This window comes from Homo sapiens, chromosome 13 (assembly GCF_000001405.40).
Source record: "Homo sapiens chromosome 13, GRCh38.p14 Primary Assembly".
In the NCBI taxonomy this organism is placed as follows: Eukaryota; Metazoa; Chordata; class Mammalia; order Primates; family Hominidae; genus Homo; species Homo sapiens.
The window spans coordinates 86,401,096-86,416,108 of NC_000013.11; the positions used below are offsets into that span (position 1 = coordinate 86,401,096).

The 15,013-nt window shown below is 34.5% G+C and overlaps 1 long non-coding RNA gene across 1 annotated transcript; it reads right to left on the bottom strand.

Moving 5' to 3' along the window:
• Window positions 1–1,819: 1,819 nt before the first annotated feature.
• On the bottom strand, window positions 1,820–13,469 carry LOC105370299 (uncharacterized). The gene is made up of 4 exons (XR_931620.2): window positions 13,338–13,469; window positions 12,888–12,987; window positions 12,374–12,490; window positions 1,820–3,091 (listed from the first exon to the last, which is right to left on the bottom strand). It is a non-coding gene; the product is annotated as an uncharacterized LOC105370299 (long non-coding RNA).
• Window positions 13,470–15,013: the final 1,544 nt, after the last annotated feature.

The following is a 15,013-nucleotide window of genomic DNA, read 5'->3' on the forward strand; positions in this document are numbered from 1 at the left end:
GGCAATGTACTGCCAGAGGGTTGTCATAGCAAATGAAAGCCATTTCTGTTCAAGTCCAAGTATATCTCATCATTCAATGACAAACATGTTTTGCATTCAGTTGGGAATACTGTTTTTAAAAAGTTTGTTACTTCTTATGTTTTTTGTTTTCATTAAAGTATCTGGAACATTTTTTTCCACTGTTAATTTTATCTTTAGTAATAATTCCTGACAGCTTATATTCAGACAAATTAAGGTTAAACATTATTATATTTAAGAACAATGCAAATAACATTTAAATAATTTCTTTAACTAAAATATTAATAAAATTAATTTAAATGAGTACAATTATAAAAATTGAATTCTTCATAAAAGAGTGCACATTTTATTCATGTTATTAAATTCAATCTAATTTAAGTCCAGCATTGAGACTCAAAACTCTCTGAGTTTATCTGACAGTAGATTCCTTTATTTTTCTTAATACTAGACTACAAATCTGAGGGACAAAGGAGCCCATCAGGAAGAGTTCTTTCTTGGATAAATTTTAGCTTAAATAAAATTTGGCCTGGCATTGTGTCATCATTATATGAGGGCAGACATTTCTCTTGACTCAGTTTACATTTTTATAACACTAGGAAGTCAGAAAAGAAATTAAATAATAATGTATGTGTGTTTATTACATGACAGAGTGTCATGGCACAAACTGAAGAAGATGTATCTTCCTCACTTCACAAAAATATATCAGATGCATCTCTAGCAGAATATGATACCTATGAGAAATAATAATAATTTGTAGTAACAAAGGAAGTAATAGTGGTGAAAAATTAGCGCATATAAATCTGTCCCTAGAGTTTACCAGAAATTTTTATGAAAGTGTAAGTCACCCAACATGAAAAGGAAGTTGCGAAAGAGAATATTTAGAGGCAATAGATGCAAAGGAGTGTAAATAGGGTAAGAACTAGTTAAATACACATCTCAATAACATTATTTTATTTTAAACTCTGCTCTGGGATGGTTACTTAGAGCATATATCTATATCATCTGGTGATCTTGAATTCAGCAATGTTGTCTGACCTATATCTATTAAAGATAAAGAAATTAAAGTAAACAAAATGTTACTTGTTTAAGTGTTCATAATTATTAATTTTTCAGTCTAGAGTTAGAATGGACTATTTCTGGTCTGATTCTAAAACCAACACTTTCTCTTTGAAGAACCTTAATATTTCCTCAGTGAGTCTTCTGGTGCTACTGGTGATAAAGGAGTTTTAAAGAAGTGATTAACTTTGTTGGGCTTCAGGAAACTGTGTAGATTAAATTATTTTCTTAAAAATATTAAATCTCATACATTCCTACACCAAGATGGGGAGGGCACTTTTCCACTACATTGATGGTAAACTTTTCCATATGATCAGCCACTGTACTATAGTTGGCACATTGATGCTTTACAGTCATAAAGTGATTTATACACCATAAATTGTTGCTTTTAAAGTATGGTGTGCCTTAGTAGTGACAAAACAGCCATAGAAAACGTGTAGATGCATGGGAATGCCTCCAAGAAAACTTGTTTTAGAACTGGGGCAAAGGTCTGAATGGGACCAGCGTGCCATGGTTTGCTATCACCTTCTTAGGTTGTAAGTCCTTGGGTGTGATTCTGTTCATATGAAAATGAAAGGGAAACCAATAACACTTAAACCCCCCAAACCTTGTTCCTGTGAGACTTGCTCCTTTTTTAGAACTGTAACGGCAAATTGTGCTTATTAAGGAAAAAAATAAGAAACATAATACAGGAGAAAGCAAAATCATATAATATAGCATAGCTGAATATAATATTTGAGTCATTTCATCTTTTAATATATGAAGTCAAAACAGTCTTTTTTTCATTTGATGTATGTGAAAAGGAGAGAACAAAATGAAGGTTCATTTTGAAAGAAAGTGGTAGTTATACAAACATCGAATCATTTCCACAGACTGTACCTTTGAGCATATACAATTATTTTGTCGGTATGTTTGCTGGACTAAGTAGTTGATAAAAGTGAAAAGATTATAACAAATCTTTTGCTAATCTTGGATTTAAAACATACGGTAACTCCAAAAAATAATAACAGGACACTAACACTGCTTTTACTTATAGAAGAGATCACATTTAGTTTCCTTATTGGAGAGAAATTTATGACTTCTGGTATATTTGGCTAGCAGAGGGGAATTGAACAGCATGGGCCTGGTAGACAGAATTAAATACATCAGTATACTTATTATGCCAAGCAAATGGAACAATTTACAGATTGGGAGCAGTGCAAAGCATTTTCATTCTGGGCAAGAGCAACATCTATCATTTCACACAGAAATAGAACACTCTGTTCAGTGTGTTCCAGCCTTGGCTCTCAATTCCCAAAATAAATCTTAACCCAGAAAAAGTCAGTGATAGGATACAGCAGAGAGCATTATAGAGACTTGACAATGCAGTGATTAGCTAATTAATCTGGGTACTCAGAGACTAGTTCATATGAAAGTACAAAAACCAAGCTGACTTTGCAGCATTTTCTATATTTGTAATGTTTCTCATTCTGAATATAATAAACAACTTGAAATTTGCATAAAGAAAAATAATACATTTATATATTCCCTAAATATGGCATTTTAATTGTCTTAATACTGTGGATCACAGTGTTAGAAATAGTCAGATGCTTCAATCTGTGAAAAAAAAAAAAAAAAGTTCACTTGACCAAATAACTTGTGTAAAACCAAGTGACTGATTCCCCTAGGCTTTGATAAAACTTTGTAAACACAATTAAAAAAGACACTCTAGGATTGTTTTATAATTAATTGTTAACATGTCTATGTTCCCTGGTAGCTATTGAACTTAAAGACATAAATTATATTACTTGGTATTTTTATATCTAATATCCTAGTTGGCATACATCTAGTATTAAATAAGTAATTTGAAATTATTTCAGTTGAATATGATTGGCTGTTGTTGTTGGGCCAGTGGAATGATAAACACCGGAAACACTATTTTCCTTCTTCTTATTTCAGCTTAGTTTTGAAATTTTATCAGTCTTGGGATTTTCAGTTTAAAATGATAGGGGAGAAATGCTGTCAAATGTAGCTTGGCCTGTGAAATTAACAAACAGAAAAAGATAAAAACTCAAGCATCCTAGATATTTGTATGGATAGATTAAGAAATTGCAAAAACAAGAAAAAATTCCCACTAGCCATGTTATAAACAAAACTAAATCAAAATATTCCTATCTAGGCTTTCACTCAAGGCACAATAGTGTTTCATTTTACAAGATTAAATGCATCGAAAAAAGGTGCCAGTTCTAGGCTCAGAGATCCAGTGTTGTAGATTGGGGCAAATGGTTCACTGATAAATAGATGCATAAACCATAAAATGCACAGAGCACCTGACATATTAATGTCATATATTGGAAATACATTTTACTGAGTTAATGTAAACTCTAAAAAACAAAGTATTCCAGTGTTTCTTGCTAATTCCATAAGCATCACCACTGACTTGTGTTAAGTTTAAGCATGTATGAGATATAGAAGAAAAGTGACTTTTCACCCACTGGATGGGTCATCAGATAATCAGATTTGGTGGAGTCATCTGTTGTGATCATTATCTCCGTGTGAACAACAAAAAGCTAGTAAAACTGCTCTAATAATTTTTTTTAAATGATTTCTGGATTGCTATTCTATGTTATCTTATTAAAATATTTGAATCTTTACCCTAAAGTTTTGATTATTGATTATATTGCTATTAATGTGATTTTAAAAAATGTCTATTTTCATATAATTTTACACTTAAAGAAAAATTTAAAAATAATACAAAGAAATGTTATATTCTATTACTAAGATTTATCAGTTGTTGATATACTACTTTTGCTATAACACACATACATACACACATACACATACAAACATATATATACATATTATTTTTTAATATTCCATGTCATATCTTCAGCTTGCATAGGTTCTTTCAAGATGTCTAAAATTAGCAAGTGACATTCACAGAATAGAATAAATATTAAGTATTTATTATTACTAATAATAAATAAATGATTGTGTAAATGTACAAATGAATAAAAAGTAGAATTCTGACTGATAATGTGGAAAGCATAAAAGATTTATCAAATCACAATTTTTCAATGATAATGATAATAATTTTGTTAATACTAATTTCGTACTAACAAAATTATTAATGGATGCTAAAACTAACTTTGAGGAGGTATTGTAACTTTATGTAGTATCAAAGTATTTTGTCACAAAATACCCATTTAAAATAAAGAAAATATAATACTATTACTGTAGATTAACCTAGAGAATTCAAACTTAAATATAAGTAACTCTTTTAACATCACTAAAGATAAAACAAAGTCACATTTTGATATTATGCAATGAGAATAATATTGAATCACATTTGTAAAAATAATTGATTCATAATATATTAGGCAAAACAAAATGGAGGAGAGTGTTAAAAGAGAATGGACTGTTATTTTAAAAAATCAAAATTTTGAAAGACAAACATTAAGTAACTGTTTTAGATGAAAGGTGTATGACGACTAAATGTAATACCAGATCCTAGATTGGATATTATACCAGGACAGAAAATAGCTTTATAAGATAGTTATATATATATAAGATAATTATATATAATATAATAAATATATATAATATAAATATATATATAATTCCATCATCATGAAATATTATAATAGTATAGTTATTCATTTTGATACATATATGTATACTTTGGTTACATGAGAGTGTTCTTAATCTAACAAACTACATACTAAATTATTTATAAATAGTATGATATGATGTCTGTAAATTACAAGATTCAGTATAAACACATATATTTCCATACATGAATGTATATATGAGATATATTGATCTAATTAATAAATCAAAATTCTATTAAAAATAATTAAGAGAGACTAAGCACCATTTGGAGGTTTTGACATTCCTCTCTCAGTAACTAATAGAAAAGTAAATGAAAATGGAGTTTCACTCTTGTCACCCAGGCTGGAGTGCAATGGCGTGATCTTGGTTCACTGCAACCTCTGCCTCCTGGGTTAAATCCATTCTCCTGTCTCAGCTTTCTGAGCAACTGGGATTACAGGCGTGCACTACCATGCCTGGCTAATTTTTATACTTTTAGTAGAGACAAGGTTTCACCATGTTGGGTAGGCTGGTTTTGAACTCGGGACCTCAGGTGATCTGTGTCCCTCGGCCTCCCAAACTGCTGGGATTACAGGCATGAGCCACTTCTCCCAGCCAATATATTTTACCAAACTGATATTAGTAAAATTTCCTACCACTTACCACACCACTAGAGTACACATATTTTTCAAGTACACATAAGCCATACCAAAATATATCAGATTCTTTCCAATAAAATGGATCTCAACAAATCAAATAAGTATTAGAATTATAGAAATACTCTTACCAAAACTAAGTTACAGTAGGAATCAATATTAGGAAGATAGCTGAAAAATCCCCAATTATCTGATATAGCTTTAATTAATCTATCAGTGAAATAGAAAGTTAAAAGGAACTTAGAAAATATTTTTTACTTAGTGAAACATTAATTTTATCACAAGGTCTTTGAATGTCAGAATATCAGTAGTGGATTGCCCTGATGATTTTAACTGAGTCTCTCATCAAACCGTTGAGTGGTTGGCTGGGGCTGCAGTTGTCTGAAGGTATAACTGAACTGGAGGATCTGCTTCCAAGTGTGTCAGTTGGCTTTTACCTGGAAGTCTCAATTTCTTACCACATAGAATTCTCCACAGGGCTGGTCACACTATGCAGTTTAATTTTCCCCAGAGCAAACGATCCAAGAAAAAGCAAGAGAGCAACCAGCACAGAAGCTGTAGTGTTTGCCTTTCATGACCTCATGACAGAAGTGAGGTACCATCACTTCTGCTGTATTTTATTTATTATAAGCCAATTATGACACCATGTGGGAGGAGAACTACATAAGTGTGTGAATTTCAAGAGCAGAATCTTCAGAGACCATCGTAGAGTCAGGCCAACAAAAACATTTTCAACCAACTTGATCTAATTGATTTATAGAACATTCTTCCCTCAAGGAACAAACTACGTATACTTTTCAAGTACACATGAAATATTTCAAATGCTCATATTCTTAATTTTAAAACTTCACTATATTCAGGAGGGTTGACTTCAAGCAGAGTATATTATTTGACTATCAGGTAATGAGAGTAGAAATAAATAGCAGAGATACCTGGATAATCATAAAATATTTAGAAATTAAACAACATATTTTAAAATAACTTAGGGGTCAAATAAGCAAATACAAGGCAAGTTAGAATCCATTTTGAATCAAATGCACAAATTAAAATAATAACTAGAGGAAAATTTATTGCACTCATTGTTGATATTAAAAAAATTAAAGTATCAAATTCATGATTTAAGATTTCTCTTTAAAAACTAGCAAAATACTAGCAAATTAAAACCAAATATGCAGCACAGGAAAGAGAGAGATCTTCAGAAAGGGCCAATAAAAAATATGAATCTCAAGTAGAAACTTAAATCAAAATTTTGTTTTCAACTACAGGAAGCAAAACTAATAAATTTAACTATTTTATGACCTTGTCTAAAAAAGTTTTTAAGGGCAGTATAAAGATGTGGACGGAGAAAGGGTCACAGTGTGATTCTCCTCTTCACCACAGACTATCTGTTAAAATTGGACATGTTTTTTATCCCTGAGTTTCAGGTCCCTAATATGTGAAAAACAGGAGAAAAAAAAAGGATGCATAATTTCTTCACTTGCTAGAATACATTATTTAGGGAATATATCAAAGGACATGTAGAAGGCTCATTAAAATGATAGCAACTATTACCTTAAAAATTTTTACTGATATTATTCATAACCAAAAAGAGAACACAGATATCATCAAGATCACACAGGTTCATGTTACAGCGCAGTGTCTGACTAAAAATACCTTAAAAACACTTCAGTGCTAGAGGAAAAAATGTTCATTTGGGCAGAAAAATATAAGAAATGTGAGATAAGCTAAGCTGTTCAAATAATAGTGAATATCAGACGTGGATACCTAAACAATAAGGAAAAGAGAGAGTGGAGTGCAGAAATTTTGTGAATCTGGGAAAAGGAGTAGTAGATGGGCATATGCACTCAAATCTAATTAACGGCTACAACAATGAGGGGGAAATGATGATATCAATGCATAGATGGATTTCAGAATTGTGTTTGTGTAGAATGAATTTGTTGGGATCAAGAAATGTTAAAGAGAATATTCCCGGTATAAAGAGCTCCTTCAGAAAGAGATCTTATTAAGAAATATAGTAAGATATATAAAAAACATAAGCAAGTAAGTAAGCTTTGAGGTGGGTACGTCGAGTATTGGGCCAAATCATGTATGAGAAGAAAACTGTTGATACATTTCAATGCTGAGTTGAAGCTATTTGGTACAAAGAAACAGTTGAAAACAAAATTAAGCACATTGTGTGTCATCTCAACCACACAGTTTTATGCATTGGTTTTCACAAAATAGTAAAACAATTTTAATTAAAAGTGATTTATCCTTTTGTTGGTATCAACTATAAGAAGACATATTTTTGTCTTGATCAATGTAGATAGGTTAAAAATACAAATATGACAGTTATACTTTTTCAAAATATGAAAAACAGCCTTTTGTTGTTGTTGTTTCTATTGGTCCACATAAAGGAGAAAATAATAGCTACTGGCATGTGGTGTCTGTACCATGGTTCCAAATAGCCATTGAACAGCCACTATCATTTAATTTATTCTCATTGCTTCTGGCCCAGTTCTGTCATCGACTTGAAAGACTTTTCATATAAATGACACCAATGCTCTTTCACACTGAGTGCTGGCAGCTTACATAAGAATATCGTATGAAAAGATTTTTATCAAGTTTTCATTTGGTTTATATGAGAATTGCAAGTGAGTTCACTATGCTATCTTTAACATCTGAGAGGAATGAATCAAATTAATCTCAGTTGGAATAAAAATTAATAGAAGAAATAAAAATAGGAATCATTCCTGTATTTTCTCACTGTATAACTTTATATTTTAATTTAAAATTATAAAATAGATACTTTTTTAAAATTAACAATATTTACCTACCTTGTGTTTTGAGTGAATAAAACATGAGCACACATACGAATACAGTCAAACACACACCCAATTAAGTATCAAGTAGGGGGTAGGGCCAAGATGGCCGACTAGTAGCAGCCATAATTGGGGGCTCCAATGCAAAACATGCAAAACAGCATGTGATCCTGCATCGGCAACCGAAGTATCCAGGTACTGTCATTAGGACTGATTAGGCGGTTGGCGTGACCCACGGAAAGGAAGAAAGAGCAGTGTGGTGCAGCGGCACACCTCAGAGCCACATGGGGCAGGGGATTCCCTACCCCCAGCCAAGGGAGGTGGTGAAATGAGCATGCTACCTAACCTGGGAAAACGTGCTTTTTCCATGGAACTGTTCAACCCACGGATTCGAAGATCCCACTCGGGGGGAGCCCATGTCATGGGGGTCTTGGGTCCCAACCGCAGAGCCGCACAGACTCTCACTTGGGTAGAATTGTCTTAAGCCCTACAAGTTCCCCAGGTTGGGAGTGGGGGCAAGGGGAGTGGCCATCACCACTGCTGCAGCTACCTGCTGTCTAAGTCATCTGAGATCCTTGTGGGAGGGGCAGCAGCCAACACTGGGGCTGCAGGGTCTCCCAGGGAAACTCCAACTCCAGCCAGGGGCTGAGGGACAGAACTCTGATCTCCCTAGGCCTGAGCCCCTAGGGGAAGGGGTGGCCATAGACTCTGCAGACCAGCAGACTTAGTCTTTCCTCCTGCTAGCTCTGAGACATCCGCCCAGCCAAGATGAGTGGGCAGCACTGCACACCTCCTCTAACAAGGGACAGCCAAAGTGCATCATAAAACGAGTCATGCTCCCTGTGCCACCCAACTGTGTGAGAACCCCCATCAGGGATTGTCAGACACCCTACACAGGAGTGTCCCTATGGCATCAGGTCAGTGCCCCTTGAGGTCAGAGATCCCAGAGGAAAGAGTAGGCACCCATCTTTGATGTCCTCCAGTGTCTTTGAATGACATCTCCAGGAGCAGGAGCAAACCAGATGAATAGGGCCTGAAGTGAGCCCCCAGAAAACTGCAGCAGCCCTACAGAAGAGGGACTTGACTACTGAAAGAAAAGCAAACAAAAAGAAAGCAACAACAACAGCATCAACAAAAAAAGTCCCCACAAAACCTCATCCAAGGGACGGCAGCCTCAAAGATCAAAACTACGCAAACTCATGAAGGTGAGAAAGAATCAACGAAAAAATGATGAAAACCCAAAATGAGAGAGTGCCTCTTCTCCTCCAAATGATCGCAAAACCTCTCCAGCAAGGGCACAGAACTGGACAGAGGATGAGATGGATGAATTGACAGAAGTAGGCTTTAGAAGGTAGGAAATAACGAACTTTGCTGAGGTAAAGGAGCATGTTCGAACCCAATGCAAAGAAGTTAGGAACCTTGATAAAATGTTAGAAAAGCTGCTAACTAGAATAGCCCATTTAGAGAGCAACATAAATGACCCGATGGAGCTGAAAAACATAGCATGAGAACTTTTTGAAGCATTCACAAGTATCAATAGCCAAATCGATTAAGCAGAAGAAAGAATGTAAGAATGTGAAGACTATCTTGCTGAAATAAGGCATGCAAACAAGATTACAGAAAAAAGAATGAAAGGAATGAACAAAACCTCTGAGAAATATGGGATTATGTAAAAAGACTGAACCTACAACAGGTAAGTGTACCTGAAAGAGAGAGGGAGAATGGAACCAAGCTGGAAAACACACTTCAGGATATTATCCAACAGAACTTCCCCGACCTAGTGAGACAGGCCAACATTCAAATTCAGGAAATACAAAGAACTCCACTAAGATACTCCATGAGAAGATCAACCCCAAGGCACATAATTGTCAGATTCACCAAGGTCAAAATGAAAAAAAAAATGTTAATGGCAGCCAGAGAGAAAGGCTGGGTCACCTACAAAGGGAAGCCTATCAGACTAATGCAGATGTCTCAGCAGAAACCCTACAGGCCAGAAGAGAGTGGGGACCGATATTCAACATTCTTATAGAAATGGATTTTCAACCCAGAATTTCATATCCGGCCAAACTAAGCTTCATAAGTGAGGGAGAAATAAAATCCTTTTCAGACAAGCAAATGCTGAGGGAATTCATCACCACCAGGCCTGCCTTGCAAGTGCTCCTGAAGGAAGAACTAAATATGGAAAGGAAAAACCAATACCAGCCACTGCAAAAACACACAGAAATATAAAGACCAATGACACTATGAAGAAACTGCATCAACTAGTGTGCAAAATAACCAGCTAGCATCATGATGACAGGATCAATTTCACACGTAACAATATTAACCTTAAATGTAAGTAGGCTAAATGCCCCAATTAAAAGACACAGACTGGCAAATTGGATAGTCAAAACCCATTGGTGTTCTCTATTCAAGAGACCCATCTCATGCAGAGAGGCATACATAGGCTCAAAATAAAGAGACTGAGGAAAATTTATCAAGCAAATGGAAAACAGAAAAAAACAGGGGTTGCAATTCCAGTCTCTGACAAAACAGACTTTAAAACAACAAAGATCAAAAAAGACAAAGAAGAGCATTACATAATGGTAAAAGGAACAATTCAACAAGAAGAGCTAACTATCCTAAATATATATGCACTCAATACAAGAGCACCCAGATTCATAAAACAAGTTCTTAGAGACCTAAAAAGACACTTAGACTCCCACATAATAATAGTGGGAGACTTTAACACCAAATTGTCAATATTAAACAGAACAACGAGACAGAAAATTAACAGGGATATTCAGGACTTGAACTCAGCTCTGGATCAAGCAGACCTAATAGACATCTACAGTACTCTCCACCCCAAACAACAGAATATACATTCTTCTCAGTGCCACATGGCACTTACTCTAAAATTGACCACGTAATTGGAAGTAAAACCCTCCTCAGCAAATGCAAAATAACTGAAAACACAACAGTCTCACAAGCCAAAGTGCAACCAAATTAGAACTCAGGATTAAGAAACTCATTCAAAACCACACATCTACATGGAAGTTGAACAACCTGCTCCTGAATGATTCCTGGGTAAATAATGAAATTAAGACAAAAATCAAGAAGTTCTTTGAAATCAATGAGAACAAAGAGACAATGTACCAGAATCTCTGAGACACAGCTAAAGCAGTGTTTAGAGGGAAATTTACAGCACTAAATGCCTACATCACAAAGCTAGAAATATCTCAAATCAACACTCTAATATCACAATTAAAAGAACAAGAGAAGCAAGATGAGCCGCTCACTGTGATTTAAGCATTGGGGTATTGCTTACAATTCAAACATGGTTTAAGCATCTTTTTTCTTCTTCTGTGAAACTGGAAAAATAGAATGTAACTCAAAGGGAATTTAGAAATCTTGGGAAAGAAGTCCAACCAAGCCTTAGTTAAATCCCAAATATTAATTCTATCATAGGGTACTATTCTCTAGAATCTGAAGACGAAGCAGATTACTTTAACATGCTTATGAGCCACCTCCACCATTACACAGACCATGATTTGGTAATCGATAGCTTGTTTGTTTTTTTATCTGCCACTCCCAGAAAAAAAAAAAAAAAGCCTTGAAAATTGTACCTGGAGGACTAGTTTTTCATTATTATCTCAATAAATTCCACCATACAATTCATATGGGTTACCTCAACTTCTGTAAAAGTGTCAACTACCTTGGCTGTTTACAATCATTTCCACTCTGTAAAATGCACTCACTAATTGGTTATTTCTACTCTAGGCTCAACCATGTGTATTAATTGTCTGTACTTTTGCTTGTTACCCTCTTACTATGTTTTCTCCTCATTTTATAGTTTCTGTGAAATTAACATTGTAAATTTTATCATCAGAAAACTCAAACTGTCTCTAACAATACACCTAAAAATATGTTTATTTTTATTTCTTTTAAGTCACCTTATCAGCTCACTGACAGAGAGCACTCTTACAGGCTGCCCTACCAAATTTCATCATTGGATCTCAAAGGCCATGACTTATCTTTTTATTCCAACACATTTTTTTCACTACCATTAACATGGTTCTGTTTTGTTTTGTTTTTCTCCATAGTTAGACTAAATTTCATGATCTATAAAAATAGTTATATGGTACCAATTATCTGAACTTCTTTGTCCCTTTTTCCTCACTCACCAATAAAACTAAACCTCTATATAAACCCTACAATCTATTTATTTCAGGAGATAATTGAAATAAAATCACAGAAAGAAATCAAATATCATTTAAATTCTTAATTACACACCTCATTCTTAGACGTGTCTTTTTTTGAAATATGAGTTTTCCATAAAATTTGGTAGGAGACAATTCTCCATGAATATTTTCATGTATGTTCATGATCTGGGATTTCTGTCAAAGAGCACTGGGCAAGAACACAAAAAATTCAGTTAGGATGAACAAGTTCAAGAAATCTATTGACCTCATGCTGACTACAGTTAATAACAATATATTATAGATATATTTCTAAAAGGGTGTATTTCAAGTGTTCTCACCAGAAAAAATTATGTGAGGTAATGCATATATTGGATGTGTTAAATAGTTTAATTTAGCCATTTCACAAGGTATGCGTATATCAAAACATCATGTACACCATAAACATAGAGAGTTTATACTTGTCAATTCAAAATAAAGAAAAAATAATTGATTGTATGTGCCCTGTAAGCTAGAGATTGTGTATTACTTCGTAATGATTTATAGATTTATGTCCCAGGAAATGGTTATTATAATCCATTGCAGTGAAACTATATAGACCCTCTTACCTTCTCAGAGGAGATGGTTAGTTTACATTCCAAAGAAAAGGCACTAATGTTAGAAACTTCTACTTCCTTTGTCTACTGTGAGCTAATGGTACCCCATTGCCTACAGGTGAAAAACAAAACAAAGCATGACAAAAACACTCCACCTAACATGGGGAGATAAATTAAAACCAAATTTCTAACTTTTGGTTCTGTTTCCTGGTACCAAATACAGCTACTAAATACAGTGTCGTTGGTGTTCTAGCTAGAAACACACTTTGTTTGACATATTTTAATCAGTAAGGGAATTAGAAAATCTTATTTGTTATTGGACGGGCTAATGAGTGAAAGGTAGACAACCGTATGTTCAGAATGTGTCAAAATTGCTGGAAACCATTATTCAGTGTCTAAACTACTAGCTGCAATGAAAAGATGATGCCCTGAAACTCAAGCAGAAACTGCCACAATATTTACCTTGCTTAGTGCCTATGTGTCTTCTCACAAGTGCAGTGGAAAAATCATGTCTTCTCTTCTGTCTTCCAAATTGTGCCCAACGTTTCTCAATCTAACCTGAAACTTTTACCAAGGGACAATGGAAAATGTAGTTCCCAGGCATCTCTTCTTTGGTGCAAGAGAGTGTACAAGAGTAGTGGAGACAAGCAATAAGACACATTAATTTTCCGATGAACAACTTTTTCCAACATTGCTTACCTGTGAGGTTTCTTATATTTCAGCCTCCTCTCCTTCCCTCTCTCCCCTCCCCTCTCCTCTGCTTTCCTACTCTCCCGTCCCCTCTTCACTTCTCTCCTCTCCTCCTCCCCTTGCTCTCTCTCTTTTCTGCCTCTCCTCTCTCTTTATCTTTTCCTCCTCTCCCTTGCTCTTCCCTCCCCTCTCCTCTCGTCCTCCTCCCCTCCCTCCTCATGCTCTCCCCTGCCCTTCCATTCTTACCCCTCCTCCTGTTTTCTCTCCTCCTCCCCAGTCCTCTCCCCTTCTCTCACCTCTCCTTTCGCTCTTTGCCAAAGAGATTACAGAAGAGTCAATACATAAAATACACAATGTTGTACATAAATTATGGTTGTTTAAATCTCAGGCTATGCCATGTCCCTGAAGAACTGAGTACTGTTTGCCTTTTTCCATGAAATAAAACAATTGGACATTATCTCTCTACTTCTTTAACATGGTGTGTAGCGGCCAGTGCCTCTAACAGCCCTTCTTTATATCTTGTGATTGGCAGATTAAGATGATATCTGTTATTTTCATCAAAAATGCAGCCTATATCTTTGTATTTTATTCTCAAAATTTTTATGGAAGGGATGTTATTTCTAAGGAAAAAAATGGGGAAATGAAAAATTTTAGTGAGCCTTGTAGAAATCTGCCCTTTCTCCTTTGTTCAATGATAATATTGAAGTTCTTCTGAGTACTACTTTAGACCAAATACAGAAAATCCCTTGGGATTTTGCTTGTGCCCTTATCTTCCTTTTCCTGAATATTCTATTTATGCCTTCTTAATACTTCTATTTTATCTGAAATATTATTGTTTTATTGTTATTGTTTTCATGAACTTTCTATTTGTAACTTTTTGTGCCCTTGGTTCTCACTGCAAACATTAAATTTCATTTGGCCCTTATTAAATCCCTCCAAGTGGGGTAGGAGACGTAGATTTTAGCTTCCACTAAAGATAATTTTTTTCCTTCTGTATTACTTTGTGAAACTTCAGTCTTTTTTTTTTAAATCTCATCTCATTCAAAATATATAAATTAGCAATTCATAAAATTATTTAAATTGGAAAGTTAACAATCTTCCAGAATAGTCATTTAAAATTTTTCTTAATTTAAATTAGTTTTCATCATTTCCAAACTGTTGGAGGAGTTGTTAAGTGTTGTTCAAATATTGTTCAACTTGATTATATTAAATCACTGTTACATATTTAAATTCCATCTCTTTTATTTCTCTTGCCTCATTATCTCTAATTCTTGTGTTTCTATTGCTGTAATTCTGAGATATTATCAGTATATCCAGTCAATATAACTCCTTCCTCTTCAGTCAATATCACTTCACTAAATATTTTTACATAGCTATTGTCTTACAATATCTTTTTTGCAAAGTTTTATGCAAAGTCATCACGTAGGATGACCACTAGGATTTGAACA